Here is a 16,634-nt window from a genome sequence, read left to right on the forward strand (position 1 = left end):
GAAGACTTAAAATATGCACAAACACAAAATCTGGTTGCCAAAGTCTTCAATGCTTATTTAAGAATTATACTTCTTTAGAATGTGAGTGAAGAAGCTCTCAGCTCTCAAAGCATATTCACCTATGTCAAGTAGTTTTAAATATGCTATTTCATGATAATAGAAAATGAGATTGTATACGTTTCCTTTAAAATGTTTACTTAACCACAATAAAAGGTTAGACAGATTTCCCAAGTGAACTTAGTTGTGATACCTGCTACAATGTGAAAATTTAAACACACTTTTAACTTAGCTTCCACTCATTTATCATGTTTGACACAAAAGTCAAAAGCCCTTTTTACGTACTAGTTAAGCTTGACTTAGAAAATACAGTATTTTTTTGTAGCAGTAGCAAGGTATGAATGAAAACCCTGAACTAGAGGAAGAAAGTGAAAGAAAAAAAAGTAAAGCATTTATGCAGTCCACAGTTTTCTAAAAATATAACTAAGGATTTTAAATTTGGCATTTCATTTTGAAATTTATGCTGCCTACTGCTAAGGCTTCAAACGCATATAAGCTTCATTAAGTTAAGTCATATGTCATACATTCTTGAAACATTGTATAGTACTTTTGGGGGGGGAAGGCAAATAAAGAGAAAAAGGAAAAGAAGAAAGAAAGATAATGTACCAAAGGATACTTTTTGAATAGCTTAACTATAATAATATTAAAGAAGTTTCCCTCTGCCAAATATTTGTAAAAGTTGGTCTTCAGATTTTTTTCCTTTTCATAATTATCTCCTAAGAAAACAAATACAGGTATTAGTTTGTTTTTCTAAAGAATGCAGATTTTGAGCACATCACCAACCAAAATCATTATTTTTAAATGCAAATGTCATTAATATTATACGTTTTGCTACAAAAAACAGTAATATTTTTCTTTGTTAGTTGTTCATTCTTTTAAGATATTCAGTCCAAAGATAGTCTATTACTGTAATGTAATCTGAGGGTGGTCTTTCTAAGATGAATGTGGTAACACTGTGATGTTTATTCTGTGGGAAATCTATTTCAATGTCTAATTAGAAGCTTTTAAAAGTTTGACTCCTTATTCCTTTGTAGAGATACTCTCAGGAGGGGAGTTGGTTTTGTCTATATAGATGTTATCCTACACTTGTATTTTAGTTTATGTAAAGTTCCAAAAATGTACACTGCTTTTCTCACACTTTTTGCATGCTTAAAAAGTTAATAAATTTGGAAAACTGCAAAGGGCTTCAATTTTGAAAGTGTTAAATGAATATCTGAAAGATCTGTTCAGCTTCCGATGCTTTTGAATGCAGGCTAGCCTCTGGCCAAATCTTTGAGCACCAGGCGTACATTTTCAGGCATAAAGCCTTGGCTAGAAGGGAGGTTTTTAGGCTCAAATCCAGAAATCAGCTGTCAAAAAACTAGATCTCAGTTTAGAACCTGATTCACTGCCCCTGCTTCTTACAGATCAACATGATAATCAACTTCAAATTTGCTAACAAGGGCTCTATTCATGGATATTTCAGCTAGTCTTGCAGATCTTCATCTTCCTGTTCCTAAGTGGGAGGGAAGGGAAGTGTTGCTCGTAAGTTATTCATCAAGTTATTCATCAAGATCAAATCTTATAAATATGTAACAGCTTTCAGCATCTGGACAGGACTCAACTGCCCAGGCACTTGAACACTGATTTCAAATATTGCCAAAAGGAAACCACGTCTGTTGGCATAGTGAAATACCAGGGCTGGGCAAGTCTGAACATGACCTGCTGAGATTAAAGCTCATGATCCAAAAAAGCTGCAACTCTTAGAGCAGGAAAGGGCAGGAATCGGGTTTCCTTCTGACAAGGTTTAGAAGAGCAAGTCTGGTGCAATCTGCCCTTGTGAATGGCTCAAATTAACCGAACATTATTCCTTTCATATAAATTCTCTAGGCTGTCACTGCATTCTCCAAAGCAGTCGATTTCACTGTTTCTGACAGACTAAAACAGATATTTTGAGTGCATTGTAATTAAACAGTTATTTCTATACGTTTTCATTTGTGTCTGCTATGGATGCTTTCCAATTCCAATGTTACTAAAAAAATTAGGTAATTTTATAGAAAACTCAGTTAAGATTATTTCCAATTTCTTGGCCATGCAGAATTAGGTTTAATTAACATCACTTTCACTCTTAGAGAAAGATACACCCATATGGGCAAAAGTGATTATTTCAACAGCAAATTTATATAGTTAAAAATTATTATGGTGTGGGTTCTTTTAGGTTCTTGTTTTCTTGCTATGAATCCTGCCTTGAAAACTATGAATTCTATTTTATGTTGGGTCGTTGCCATTTTTCATAGTTCTTAGAATTGTCTAGGCTTAGAAAATGCAAAGTCATATAATACTGACCCATGGGAGATACTGTAGACAAACATTTTTGTAGAGGATCCCCTTTTTCTATCCCTAACCTGGTTTTGCAGCTATGATAATTTCTTTTGAGTCCCAAAATCAACATATTCCAAGTATTAGGTTTGAGTAAGCAGTGATTTTTGTAAAATGCAATGAAGGACTTCATCAAAATGATATTTTTGAAGATAATATATAACTGGAATTTTCAGAAGTATCCCCCTTTCAATTTTCCACACCCACTGGGTTATAACTAAGTTCCTCCTTTTGTATATATTATTATTCAATATATAAATATGCTCAAATGATAAGAAAATGTATTGAATATATCACTGATGAATTTTAAACTCTACCCTTTAGAAGCTGTGGCAGAAGAATCTGAAACATTAGCTGTTAAGAAAATTAAATGAGGTTCTAATCTGAAGAGGGAGCTTACCTCTGGATTTTCTTCCAAAAACAAAAGCCTTGCCAAGAAGTTGCCAAGTTGGCCTATATAGATCTTCTAAGTCCAACTGCCATCTCTCTGGTTCAAGATATCGAATAAGGTCTTCCAAGGTACTAAAGGCAGTTATAGCATTATTAAGCAGGTCCAGTGGCAAAGCTGAAGGGGGTAGCACTGAAGGACTCACAGCTTCTGTGAATTGCTGAAAGTAAAATGAATCCTGTGTTAACTGTTTTAAAAACGACAATGTATTCCTTCTGGACATATGCAAGAAATTATAAAGACTGAGGCTGGAAATATGTGTGAAGGGAAATTGTATTGAATCCAATTAGAAATAACTACTCTGCAAAGACTTCATGAAGATGAACTCTGATAGATTTCCTGTAAAATCAATGAGAAAGACATTAATTTTCATTACCACCAACCGTGAGGGATATGGATATCTTTTGGTCATATAAAAGAATTAAAAATATCTTCATGGTTCAATTACAAACTTAGAATGAAAACTATAATACAGTTTACCAAATTTTCCTTTTCTTTTCCACTTTTCATTTTCCTTAATCTGAAAAATTACCTGGTAGTTATGCAAATTAGTGTCACATAAATTAAAAATGGAATAAGAAATAATTAACCCAAAAGATCTAGAACAAAATAGTTAGAAATCATTTGACATTAAAGAACTTATTAATCAAGATAGAAAATATCTAAATCATAAAAGATCAGCTTAATAAATTGCCTACAATATATTTTTAATATAAAATGCCTAATAAACAAGATTAAGAGATCGGAGGGACACTGGAGAACACACTGACAAACTATGTGACTGTCATAAGATTAGTATCCAGAATATACAAAAATAAAGACAAATGCAATGGAAGAAAAATGGGCATATTACAGATAAAAAGCTTGAATGGTCAATAAACATATGAAAATATGCTGAACTTCATTATCAGAGAAATCCAAAGAGAGATATTATTTCACATACGAAAAAAGGATACTTTTTCACACAGATGAGATGGGCAAGAATTTTAAAAAGGATTACTGAGGATGTGATTAAATTGGAACTCCTCTGCTCTGCCTGCAGAAGTTAGTGTACGTAGGCACAACACTTTAGCTGATGTAACTGATAAGCACTGAATATTCTTTCACTTATGCACATGGAAATATGTTCAATGATTAGAAAGACTGGAAGCAATCTAAATGCCCACATATAGGAAAACACTAACACATCGGCTCTTCCTTTTCATTCTCATTACTTCCATCCTGGGCTCCATACTAAAAACATGTACTATAAATAGCAGCTTCTAACCTTATCTCCTTACCTTTAATCATTTTTCTCTCCTTTTGTTCTATGCTGCATAATCCTGGGTTAATCTACTAAATAAGATATTACTGATCCTATGATGAATTTGGACAAATGCCTATGTGATTTCTCATCTGGAGGATAAAATCCAAATTCCTTACACAGCATTCAGAGCCCTCAAAAACTGACCTCTGCTCACCTTCCACTCTAATCTGCTACTCATCAGAGACATGCATATTTTGTTCCAATCAGTCTAGTCTCTTCACTGACTACTGCACATATAATATCATCTCAGACTTTGTAACTTATGCTAAATCTGTCCCCATACCTGACATGCAAAAACTCTCCCCCCGTTGATCCACATCATAAATCTTTACCATTACAATGACCTTTTCAAAAATCCAATTCATCCATGAAACCTGGCACAACAGGGTCATCACTGTCCCACAGCCCTCTGTGGGCTGCTCTGTGAGCACTTGGCTTGAAGAGCAGAAGCTGCCCAGTAAACTAGGAAAAGGAGCACCTTTCCTCTGGACAGGCACAACCCTCGTGGGGCTCCTGGCTTTGTGGGTGTCCCGCTGCCCACAGGGGAACATTCTTACAGGGTATAATCGGCAGAAATGAACGTGGCAGCCTTGGGCCAACAATGATTTCATCCTTTTTTTTTTTTTTTTTTTAACAAAAGTTTATTGAGTAACTACAGTGTTCCAGGGCCTGTGTGTGCATTATGAGAAAAGCACAGTGGAATGACAATGTCTGGCCTCCTTCCTTGCCTGGATTACTCACATGTACTTTCCAAGTCTCCACTCAGCTGTTACTCCTTTCATCTTTTTGTTTTTTAAATAAGTTTTATTTTGTATATCTGAGGTTTATGACATGATGTTACAGAATAAACAAAGATACGCAAAGATACATGGAAAATGTGTAAGTACATATATATACAGTACAATGGTTACTATTAAAGACTTAATTTCAATAATGTCAAGGATCTGGCTAAAATATTAGGACTAAGATATTTTCTAATTATTTTATGATATTTTTGCTCTACCCATTAGTCTGTTAAACTTTGAGAGTTTATTACCCTAATATGTTTTTATTACCCAGTGTTTTCTATAATTGTCCAAGGAACACAAAATTGCTTTGACAGAACTATGACTGAAAACTCTATTATAGATATAAACATTGATCTAAAAACGGTTTTAATTTTAATTTAGCTAATTAAGCTACTATTGATTAAATTTATGGTGTAAAAAGTTAACGCAAATTTTTGCATATTTCAAAAATATAAGCCTATATATGTATACAAATGTTTTATAAAGTAAAAATTAAGGGGTCAATAATAGTCAAAGAATCAGTATTATTACAAATGGAAAGTTTCAAAATCTGTACAGATAAAATAAGTGGTTGCTAGCAAGTTAATACAAAAAGTATACATTATTTATTAAATTGTCAGGGTGCAGATGTATATTTTAAGCATAAAATATAATTGCTATGTAGGGTAATTTCAATTAGACTGTAATCCAAGAATGATTTGGCTTATTTTGCTTCCAGTCTGTTGGAGACTCTCTGAATAAAGCATTTCTTTTGAAGCAATACAAAGTTCTAACTGAAATTAATATTGCTGAGATGCAGTCCAAAATATTAACACAAAAGAAGGCAAAACAAGATAAGCCTGTAATAATGGGCAAACAAAAGATGCACACCTTAGGTCCAGTGAAGTATCTGCAATCTGCATACCCATCCCTTCAAATGTGAAAGGTTGGGAGAAAAGCATCTTCTGTTACTGTATGTATAGATCAGTTGGTGTTACAAATCTCTAAGCTTCTAAATATTTAAATTAAAATTTGATAAATTTAGAAAGACAACTCTTTCCCCACCACACCCCACACACAGTGGTCCCCACCCAGAAAACAGGAAAGAAGAATGAACATAAGTTCCCAGGATTCAAAGAATCAATCCCTGGACAGAACAGGGGAAGTGGTGCTTCTATTTAAGGGCCTTCTCATGACTGTCCCTCCACCCACTGGTTCAAGAAAGAGCCGAGTTGTTCAGTTTCAAAGTTCTGCTTTTCTAAGTTGTTTAAAGGGACTCTCAGAGAGAAAGGGGGGAGCAATGAAAAAAAGAAGTTACAGAAAAAAAAATGTCTTTGAATTTTTAAGTTTTACTTTTCTCTCTAACAAAGTAACACTGTTCATTACAGACTAATAGCATTTTCTCCCATAATTAGTATCTAGAAAATTCTAACAATACTTTTGATATTTAAAAACACTTATGATTGGGCTGTTAAACTGGTTAGAATATGCAAAATACGCCTTGACTTGGATTTTCACATTTCCTGTTTATGTCTTTTATTCTTCATAAAAATATGATGGTGTACTTTTAAGCTATAGGTTGTGCTAAGACAATTTAGTGGATAGCAATGGACACAAACCGGAAGCAGAGTTTCTTGGTGTTCTGCAATGTAGACAACTAAACCAAAACCCTTATTCAGCCAGAGAAAAGCTTCTGTGTTATCACCTGCAGGGCAGTAATGACAAGCTTGGTGAGGGTGTGGCCCTAGCCTAGACCCTTTTAGGCCTATTACTTTGTAAGGACAGGTTGTCAAAGAGCAGAAAAGCATCTACAATCTATGTGATGAAGTGTCCTGCCAAAGAGTACATTTCTAAGATGTCAGCTCCATGAGATAAGGATCCTATGCAAAATCGGGTCTTTAAAATTCTCTGATGAAAGTTACTCTGAATGACAACATGATAATGAGAGAACTACGATCAGGAGTTAAGGAACTGGACTCTAAATCCCAGAGATACTCACATGTAGGGAAGAGAGTTTGACTAAACTGCATAATCAATCTGTGCCTCAGTTTCCTCCACTACAAAATATGGTAGCTATATTCAATGACCTTCAAGTTTCTTGCCAGCTTTTACATGTAAAAATTCTACTTAATTATCAGATACAAGAGGGTCCAATACAGCTTCAGCAAAATTATCTTGAGAGCTTCAAAAATATAATAAACAACTTAGTAAGTCTATAATGGGACTGAACTCTATTTTTTTTTTCTTTTAACTCTCCTTGTTGTTTTAGCAGATGAGTGAGTTTTGGGAAACACTGCCCTGTGGTACAACTGTGGGATAATTCTACATTTACATATATATATAAAATTTTGAGAGTACATGAAGTTTACCCTGCTCTTTAAGACATCAAATATCCTAGAAAGGCATGTCTGGCTTATAAATAGAAGCAGTATGGTCCTAAAAATCTGAAGGAAACAAGTCCGTGCTTAGAAAACTGATACCAAAAATGTTTAAATGAATATAGACACACGTTGTATTATGGGCTGAATTAGAGTTCACTCAAAATTTCTATTCTACTAAAGTCCTACTCACAGTATCTCAGAATGCCTGTATTTGGAGACAGGGTCTTTAAAGAGATCAGTAAAATAAGGTAACTAGGGTGGACCCTAATCTAACATGATTGGTGTTCTTATAGTAAGAGAACATTTTAACATAGACATAGTAGAGAGGGAAGACCATCTGAAGACACAGGAAGAAAATGAACATCTACAAGTATAGGAGAGAGGTGTCAGAAGAAACCAAACCTACTGACACCCTGATCTCAATTTCTAGCAACCAAAATTTTGAGAAAACAAGTTTCCATTGTTTAAGGCACCACTGTTTAAGTCTGTGGTATTTTGTTAAGGCAGCCCTAGAATGCTAATACATGCCATCAACTTCTCCACTTAACTATTATAGGAGCAAACAAAGGATAATATTACACCATGTCTGTTCAATCATTCAACAAGCATTTATTTAAAAACCTGTAAGGGCTCACACAGGTGCAGTGGCTCACACCTGTAATCCCAGCACTTCCCGAAGCCAAGGCGGGTGGATCACTTGAGGTTTAGAAGTTCAAGACCAGCCTGGCCAACATAGTGAAACCCCATCTCTACTAAAAATACAAAAAATTAGCCAGGCATGTTGGCCACGCTTATAATCCCAGCTACTTGGGAGGCTGAGGGACAAGAATCACTTGAACCCAGGAGGCGGAGGTTGCAATGAGCCAAGACTGGGCCATGGCACTCCAGCCTGGGTGATAAAGTGAGACTCTGCCTCAAAAAATAAAAAATAAAAAAATAAAAAATAAGGCAAATGAACAAAAGTAAAAACCTGTGAGGTGAGCACTATTAACAAAACAAGAGAAAATGCTTGCCTTTGTGAGAAGCCAAGTATACTGCATCATAGAAGAGAGTTTTCTCTTGCCAAAACGAGAATCTGCTATTATGAATCACACAAGTAACCAAACAAGTATCACACAAATCCTGGTGAATGTGGACCAGAAAAAAAGTGAACTTAGTATGTAAGAATTACTGAAAAACAAATATATTTCTATTTTTATTAATGAAAAATAACTGGCAGCCCAGGAGTTCAGACAAAATCATAGCCATAGGAACAAGCTCAAGACAGCAAGTTTGGCTGCAAAAGTTAAGTTTTCTTATTGACTTTTCCACTGTTCTTTTCAAAAATCAGTGTTTTACTGTTTTGTATTTTATTATGGCTACCTTAAATATTTTCTGCACTTGTTAACATCTTTCCCCTTTTTTAGAAAAAAGAAAAGCTGACTTCCTGTTTGGAATAGTACTATCTGAACTACTTATAATTTCACAATCAGTCATTACTTACCTCTAAAAAACCATAGCTTGTCATTTTATTAGGATTTTTGTGGCCAGTGCAATTTTAAAAACACACTTAAAATGAATCTTCCTTGGACAAATACACACATATAAATGTTTACCTTGAGTAGCATAGCAACTGTTGCAAAACTATTAGGGCCTACAAAGATTTATGTTGCAACTTTCCCAGTCAACTGCATATAGTACACTTCAAACTGATAAAGTTTTCAATTCATTCATACCTAACAAAAGGTTAGGAATGCAGATTAGGTTTTATTGTCGGAGTTAAAAATAAAACAATATTATAAAATGATCAGGTGTTTAAGAGAAGACAATAAATGTCCAGCCTTGGGTAACATCACTTCTTAAAGGTGTCTCCAATCTCATTTATGTAATGTCAAACTGATATATTGTACAGAGGTCTTACTTTTAAAGAGCCTAAGCAGCAGACAGGGCATGCAGACACAAATGCCTGCCAGGAACAACTCACGGGAGGTTCTGTAAAGACACAAGAATGTCCTGAAACAATTCATTTAAACACGCTTCTTTGCCTTTCCCTATGTTCTTATCCGAATTCATTCAAAAAGTTATCTGGGTCATGTTTTTAAATTATTTTTAAGCCGGCAATGAAAAGCAAATGCTTGCATTCCTACTCAAGAACAGATGTTTTAATATGGTGTGAGTAATGCAGATTATATATTTAAGTGAGAAATCCTAGGGAAGGTGGCCAATTATATTCACATCAAGGCTTAAAATTGAGGGGTTCTTATTCAAAGAGCATGACAATTGAATAAAACTTGACATATCTATATAACCCATCACAGCAACAGTCCAGTATGAAAAGCGTATGAGCCAGCATTTAAAAGCAATACATTTTAAGGCTCAAACCTGCAACTGGCCTTCAAAGGCCATGAGTTTCATGGTTTCAGAAAAACCCCGGAGAGCAGAAGTCTTCCTGAGAAGAATGGATATATGAAAAAAGAGATGGCTAATTTTGCCCAAAGTGTTGTCTTAAATAAAAGTAATGTTTATTTACTAAGTAGACCTTCTTACCAACTTGATAGATGAAACAACTGCTACGGACTCACTTTTCCCGTCATCATGAAACTGGAGAACCATTACTATCTAACCAGATTTACAAACTAAAACACTGTTACTCTCAACACCTTCTCACCTAAAGCACTGGTGGTCTACAAACTAAAGAAAAAAATTCACCCTAGTGCAAGCACTTTAGATTTGAAGGTCTCCACAGAAGTCAACTCCACCACAGAGCAGGCTCATTGTTGGCTGGTGAGTCAGAGTCAATACACAGTTTCCCACTTCCTAGGTCAAACTGCGGGTTATAAGTAATAATCAATGTGGAAAACTAGAATTCCATGGGATGACTAAATAACATAGTACTAAGAATGCTTTCCACAATGGCATCTGTGGGAAGCCAAAATTAAGGTTTTTTTTTTTTTTTTTTTTTACTAAAATTTGAAAAACAATTCCTCTGAATAAACAATGTGACAGGCCTTAAAAGCTAAAATAACGTCTATCAGTGGCAAGTGTTTGACAACAAAGTATCGCAGGAATTTTTTTCCTAATCTTATATTGAATACTTGTGGATTTGCTTTGTTATAATACTCAAGATAACGCCTAACAGTGATGAACTTCCAATGAAAGAAAATGTAAACTAAGAACTATTGGAAGAAAAACACACCTTCACTGCAAAACATGAAAGAATATATACCTCAAACCCAAAATCTTTGAAGACACTTTCTTACAGAAATTTATCCTACAGTACAATATTTATTCAATGTATCACTCAACCACCATTAAGGGAAATCGTGGAATGTTTTGTGGAAATCTAGCTCAGGAATAGTGGCTATATTGGTAGACATTGTCAATTATATGTTCAATAAGTTAAATAGTTGGATAATACACTCAACTTCATTCTAGCTTTGTATGTGCCTTGAGTGGAAGGCCTTACTTTGGAGTAAGAAATAAGGGTACAGAGTTATTTACTTTAAAATGTCTTGACAGTATAAAAAGAGTGTTAAGTAGCTGAAACTGAGAGGGCAACAGAAAAATCCCCCAGTGAACTGCTTTGAGGGGAAAAATGAGCTAATTCAGGGGAAGCCATTAGAATGTATGCAAAGGTCAGCAATGACCCCCCCACATGGCTGAATCCAATGGTCTGTTTTTTCAGTCTTACTAACTGACCAATCAGTGTGTGAAAGTGGCTTTTCACACACTGTGCTCTGCAGATTTTCTTTTACCTAACAAGATGCTTCTCCTTAGCTCTGAGTGCTGGTTCCTCCTTATCACCTTCTTTTTACATGCTGGAGTGTCCCAAGGATCTCTGCTTGGACCTTTTCTAGTTTCTGTCTACATGCTTCCCCTTGGTGATCTTCTATAGTTTCAAAGCATTGCATATCATTTATACGCGGACTACCAGAAAATTCCTATTTCTTATCAACACATTATTACCATTTCAGTAAATGCCAATTCCGTAATTTGCAGTCGTACTTTGCTCCTCTCTTTTCTGTGCTACACTCCATATCCCACATCAAGTTATCTTGGCTCAATCTTCATACTATGTCTGGAATCTGACCATTTTCCCTACTTCCATTGCTGCCACTTTACAATTCAGGCCAACATGTGAAACAGTCTTCTAACTGGTCTCCCTGTTAAACAATGCCTTTGCCATTGTTGTCTGAATTAAATAACAGAAATTTACACATTCTACAACAAATGGTCAATAGAGTATTAGTAAAAATACCAATTACTTTTCTAGAAAAATATCCTGCTTTTAAATTTCAAACTTAAAAAATGGCCTTTATTTTAAACATTCTATAGATTATTCACAGTGGAACTCAATGGAAGGGCTTTGTACAGATTTCACAAGCCTCGGTTAATGCAGTATGCCTCCTGCAACCTGCCATTCATCCCTCCCAGGTACATTTTATCCTGTCAGAAGGCACTCACTAACTCTCCTACTGCTGACAATGCAAACAGTACTCTCTTCTTCAGGGTAGGGGAGGCATACCTACCAGCCATAGAAAATGGGGCGTTTGTCAAAATTACATGGTGAACACCTCATTTATGTGTGTGTCTGTAGGAACAGGTATTCAAAGGAGGGATGATTCCACCTACCTAGGAAAACTGGTATAAGGATTAAGCAAAATAGCATATTTTAAAAATTTAATAAACAATTCAGCACTATACATATTTAGGGATTATCATACACATTTTTATTATATATTTAATTACCCAAGTTGTACCAAGTTTAGCAAAGATAAATAATTATTTTAAAAAATATAGCTCATGATTGATGTTGGTCTGTGTTACATGGAGTGGCATGACCTCATTAGGCAGCGTTCAATGACATCTCCACCCAACATTCTTTCTAGACTGATGTGGCAAATCAGAGCTTGTCCAACCCTACAAGGAAAATTCTGAAACAGACTTCTTTCTCTTCTAAAACAGATTTATATTCAGTAGTTGTTCTGGAGGGAGAAATGGGCATTACACATCAGCAAATTAATCTTTATGGCTACGAATACCTCTGTGCTAAAGAACTTAAAAAATAAGCATAATGATACCCTTGGCTGCTCACTTATCCTATGTCGGTTTTCTGAATTCATATTCTTTGCCTATAAAATCTTTATATGAAATGAAACCAACAAAAAATCCTATGCAAAATGCAGGATTTCAACTCTGAGGCCCACCATGTCACTGGTATCTTAATTACAGTGTACGGTGTTACATTAAAAGAAACTTCTGTAAAGTAACTAGTTAGCATGCCGTTCCTATTTCAACAATGGAGAAAAATATAAATGATAATTATTTTGTGAAGTGTTTGGGCATTTTTTTTACATTTTTAAATCACTCTGTGACATCCCTATTCTGCCATAAAATCTTTAGTACTCATGCACAGATCTGAACACTTTCAAAAAATAAAAGCATAAACAGTTATATGTTCTTTGGTCATGTTTTTACATGTCGGTCACCACACTAAAATGAGATTGTGTCTCACGGTCAGAATTCTGGGCAGGTCAAAACGATCACCAGGGGCAACAGAGAACATAGAATATTTTTGTGAAAAGTTGGTACGGTCACCTCAAACACACCTGAAAAGGCTTCTTCTATTGATACAAGCAAGATATGGCTCTGAAAACAGGGTTAGATAAAAAGTTAAATCATTCAGTAGACTATATTATACTCCTGTCACGTGCTCACAACAAATGAAGAATATGAATAATATAGCCATTGTGAGGTTCGTATCTCTTGATGGAAAAACCTGTGTCCTTTAGGTAATGACTATAACGGAAGTAAAAACCCAAGTGCTGTGAGTGTGATTAATTCTGCCTAGAGAATTAAGGAGGTGATACAAAGAAGAGATCAAAGTTAATCTAGAGCTTAGAGAATTAGAAAGTAATTATTATATAGATTAGAAGGGAGAAGCACTTTAGATATTTACAAAGAAACTGAGTTGGAAAAAAATGGTGTTGGGTGAAGAAAAAGATGAAGACTGTGACAAAGCATTGCTATTAGGGGGAGAGTAGATGGTGGAAGGTGAGGCTGCAGGAATGAATTGGGGTCTGATTGGGAAGGCTTTGTGTGTGCCATGCTATGGAATCTGGATTTAATCACAAAGCAGTACAAGAGTCAAAAGAGATGTTAAGGAAGGTGGGATACATACAAGTTTAATTTTTCTGGCTTTCTACTTCTATTTTAGGTGAGGAGGTGCCTTGGGTTGGGAGAAGGGGGTGTGCAGACTCTGGTGGGAGCCATGAACAAGGCTTTGGCATCTGAACCTTTGCTCCTGATGTTGCCCTTTGTTAATAATAACTGCTTTTATTGCCTTGTCACATGGCTAATCACTACCCACTAATAAAGACTCAGCTTCTCCAGGAGGCTTCCACTAGTGAGACCTCTCTCTATATATACACGACTACCTCTAAGCTGGTCGACCTTTGTGATCCACCATTCTGTTCATATGTCTAGCACTACATCAAATTGAAATTGTTGTACGTGTCCCTCCTACTTGCCTCGAAGTTCTTTCATGGTGGGGCCAAATCTTGATGTCTTTTGGATATTTTGATCTCCAATAGTATTCAGGATCTGACAGAATATTAATGAAGTGCTAAAAAGAGTATGCTTTATGATCTGATTGATTACCACCATTGAGGAAAACAAATGAAAAGAAGGGTGGCAAAGTACATGACCATGGTAGAACCAACAGGATTGGTAGCTGGTGGGATGGGGAATCAGGGAGAGAAGAGATATGCTTAATTTTAAATGATTCTAGCTTCAGGGAATGCATTAACAGTGACATAACTATGTAATACAGGCAAAATTGGTAAGAAAGAAGGAAAAGTTCAGGTTGGGTCAATTTATAATAAGTGGAGGTGTATTGACACGCATATATCCAGCAGACAACTGCAAACATTTTTGTGGCATTAAATATAGAGGACTCACTTGGAATAGAGAAAGATAATCATTAACATATACAAATGTCAAATGTTAAAGCCATGAGCTAAGAGCACACATGAAAAGAAAAGAGGATAGAAGACAGGAAAATGGGATTTCCCCATACTTAGACCAATGGCCAAGGCACTGGATCAACCAGCACTGGTGTCTCAAAATAGATCAATCTAAGGGTCGGGAAGAGAGCCTGGAGGTCTTAGTGATTTTTCCTCCCAAGGAGAAGAGAGTTTTGAGGAGTAGAAGAGGGAGAATAACATCAAAGTAATGGAAAGATCAACAAGAAAGAGGAGTAAAAGTAGGCCACTGTAGCTATTCCACAGGTGGTGTTCTGTGACCTTAGGAATAGAGAAGTTTCATCGAAGTAAGAAAGGAAGAAAGGGGGCCGTTAAAAAGCAGTGAAATGGAGAAAGCAAGTAGAACTTTTTCATTAAGTTTGGCAGGGAGAAAAAAATAAGAAAGAATCATAGATTTATGAGAAGAAAGATTAGAAAAAAGCTTAATATAATAAGTACAGAAATACGTGTATATTTGCAATTAGAAAAGAAGGCCAATGAATAAAAGAAATCAGAAGACAGAGGAGAGTTAATGTCAATTGTAGATCAAGACGGGGCAAAAATATTTTTCTCATGAACTGTAAAGAAGACTAAAATGTCAAAGTATTTCTGTAAGACAATTCAACAATATTTTCCACAAGCAGTCTTAAAAGTGTCCATTTTTTCAGATCCTGTAATTCCATATTCAGAATTTTTATCTTAAGGAAATAATCAGAAGTATAATCCAAGGATAGTCATTGTAGCATTATTAATAGAGAAAATTAAAAATAAAATTTAAAACAAATGTTCATAATTGGAAGGCTGTTAAATAAATGATTACACTTTATGTATGTACAGTGGTCCATTTTATTCTCAATAATTTTTAGTGTACATGAGAACAATGTAGAAACTTTGATCCCTAACAGCTCAGGGATATGATTGCCACTGTGATATAAACTATAAAGCAAACAGGATGATTCACATTCTGCATAGGCAGAGACTAAGGACACCCAGGCTAAGATCTTACTGTTCTGAATTTTTTTTTGAGACGGAGTCTCACTCTGTCATTCAGGCTGGTGTGTGGAGTACAGTGGCGCAATCTTGGCTCACTGCAACCTCTGCCTCCAGGGTTCAAGGGATTCTTCTGCCTCAGGCTGCCAAGTAGCTGTGATTACAGGGGTCCGCCACCACACCTGGCTAATTTTTGCACTTTGTATTTTGTATTTTTTAAAGATGGGGTTTCACCATGTTGGCCAGGCTAGTCTCGAGCTCCTGACCTCAGGTGATCTGCCAGCCTCAGCCTCCCAAAGTGCTGGGATTACGGATGTGAGCCACTGTGCCCGGCCCTAAGTTTAATAAACTTCTAAAAGTAGATCCATCAGTTCTCAATCTGATATGCAAGGAATCTACTGGGTGCACAACAGTCTGGAAAGGGAGCAGCCAGCATCAGATAAAGGGGTGACTGAACAGCATTGTCAGTACAGGTGAGAGATGACCGACTCTTCAAAGTGTAACATTCATGCAGTTACAAAAGGTAAAATTCTATCAACTAGGATCAACTTACGGGACTATTAAAATAATGCACATTTTTTTCCATGTAGAATCTAATGTCTACATTGGGCAGGGCTAGAATACTCAGGAGGTGCAAAGTCACAGTGAGATTTAATAAAGTTCTAGGTCAGTTGATCAATATCTTCCCACAAAGTTCAAGGTCAATTGAAAAAATATCTTCCTACATTCTTTTCTTTGCCTTGTTCTTTACCCTGCCCCTCTATTCTGTATCGCTTTGCCCTAAGTGTACAATGCTCTGAAATCATCTTTATTTCCCTAAAACTTTCATTGCTTCAGCTGATTTCAGATACGGTACTGTGAAACTAATCACCATTACCCTAATCAACATAATATGATCATTCATAACCACACTAATAGGCTCTTGATTATCTATCTTGTCACCATTTATGTAATATATATTCATTTGCAATAAATACATACTGAGCAACTAATACGAGCCAGACACTCTTCTAGGTGCTGAGGATCAAGCAGTGAACAAAAGAAGTAAATATCTCTGCCTTTATGTAATACATATTCTATTGGAGAAAAACAGACCATGCACAACATAAATAATGCACATACAATGTTAGATGGTAAAGTGTATTGCAGGAAAAAAGTAAAAGCAGGAAGAAGTAAAAAGTAAAGCAGGAAGAAGACAAGAATGACAGGCAAGGCCTCTGTGAGAAGCTGACGTGCAAGCAAAACCTTAAGGAGTTGACGCTTGAAGTCGTGGGGCTATGTGAGGAAGATTATCCCATGAATATGGAATATCAGGGCAAATAATCT

At 35.8% G+C, this 16,634-nt stretch overlaps 1 protein-coding gene across 7 annotated transcripts in view, besides 2 other annotated features; it reads right to left on the minus strand.

Moving 5' to 3' along the window:
- PDGFC (platelet derived growth factor C) overlaps positions 1 to 16,634 on the minus strand; it is a 211,346-nt gene that overhangs the window by 9,417 nt on the left and 185,295 nt on the right. For all 7 annotated transcript variants that reach the window (NR_036641.2, NM_016205.3, XM_017008455.2 and 4 more), the window contains one exon: positions 2,816 to 3,023. Coding sequence is in view for 6 of the 7 variants with exons in the window: in NM_016205.3 (NP_057289.1) it covers positions 2,816 to 3,023 (208 nt within the window). In the remaining variant the exon portion in view is untranslated. The remainder of the gene's footprint in view (positions 1 to 2,815; positions 3,024 to 16,634) is intronic.
- Positions 1,368 to 1,869: an enhancer, noted in NCBI's record as "NANOG hESC enhancer chr4:157692390-157692891 (GRCh37/hg19 assembly coordinates)". NCBI's record gives its function as "activates a minimal SCP1, AML or CMV promoter by ChIP-STARR-seq in primed H9 embryonic stem cells {active_cell/tissue: H9 hESC(primed)}" and the evidence as "EXISTENCE:reporter gene assay evidence [ECO:0000049][PMID:30033119]".
- Positions 1,527 to 1,821: an enhancer, noted in NCBI's record as "tiled region #10686; HepG2 Activating DNase matched - State 6:EnhF". NCBI's record gives its function as "activates a minimal TATA promoter and a strong SV40 promoter by Sharpr-MPRA in HepG2 cells {active_cell/tissue: HepG2}" and the evidence as "EXISTENCE:reporter gene assay evidence [ECO:0000049][PMID:27701403]".

Source organism: Homo sapiens, chromosome 4, assembly GCF_000001405.40.
Source record: "Homo sapiens chromosome 4, GRCh38.p14 Primary Assembly".
NCBI classification, from domain to species: domain Eukaryota; kingdom Metazoa; phylum Chordata; class Mammalia; order Primates; family Hominidae; genus Homo; species Homo sapiens.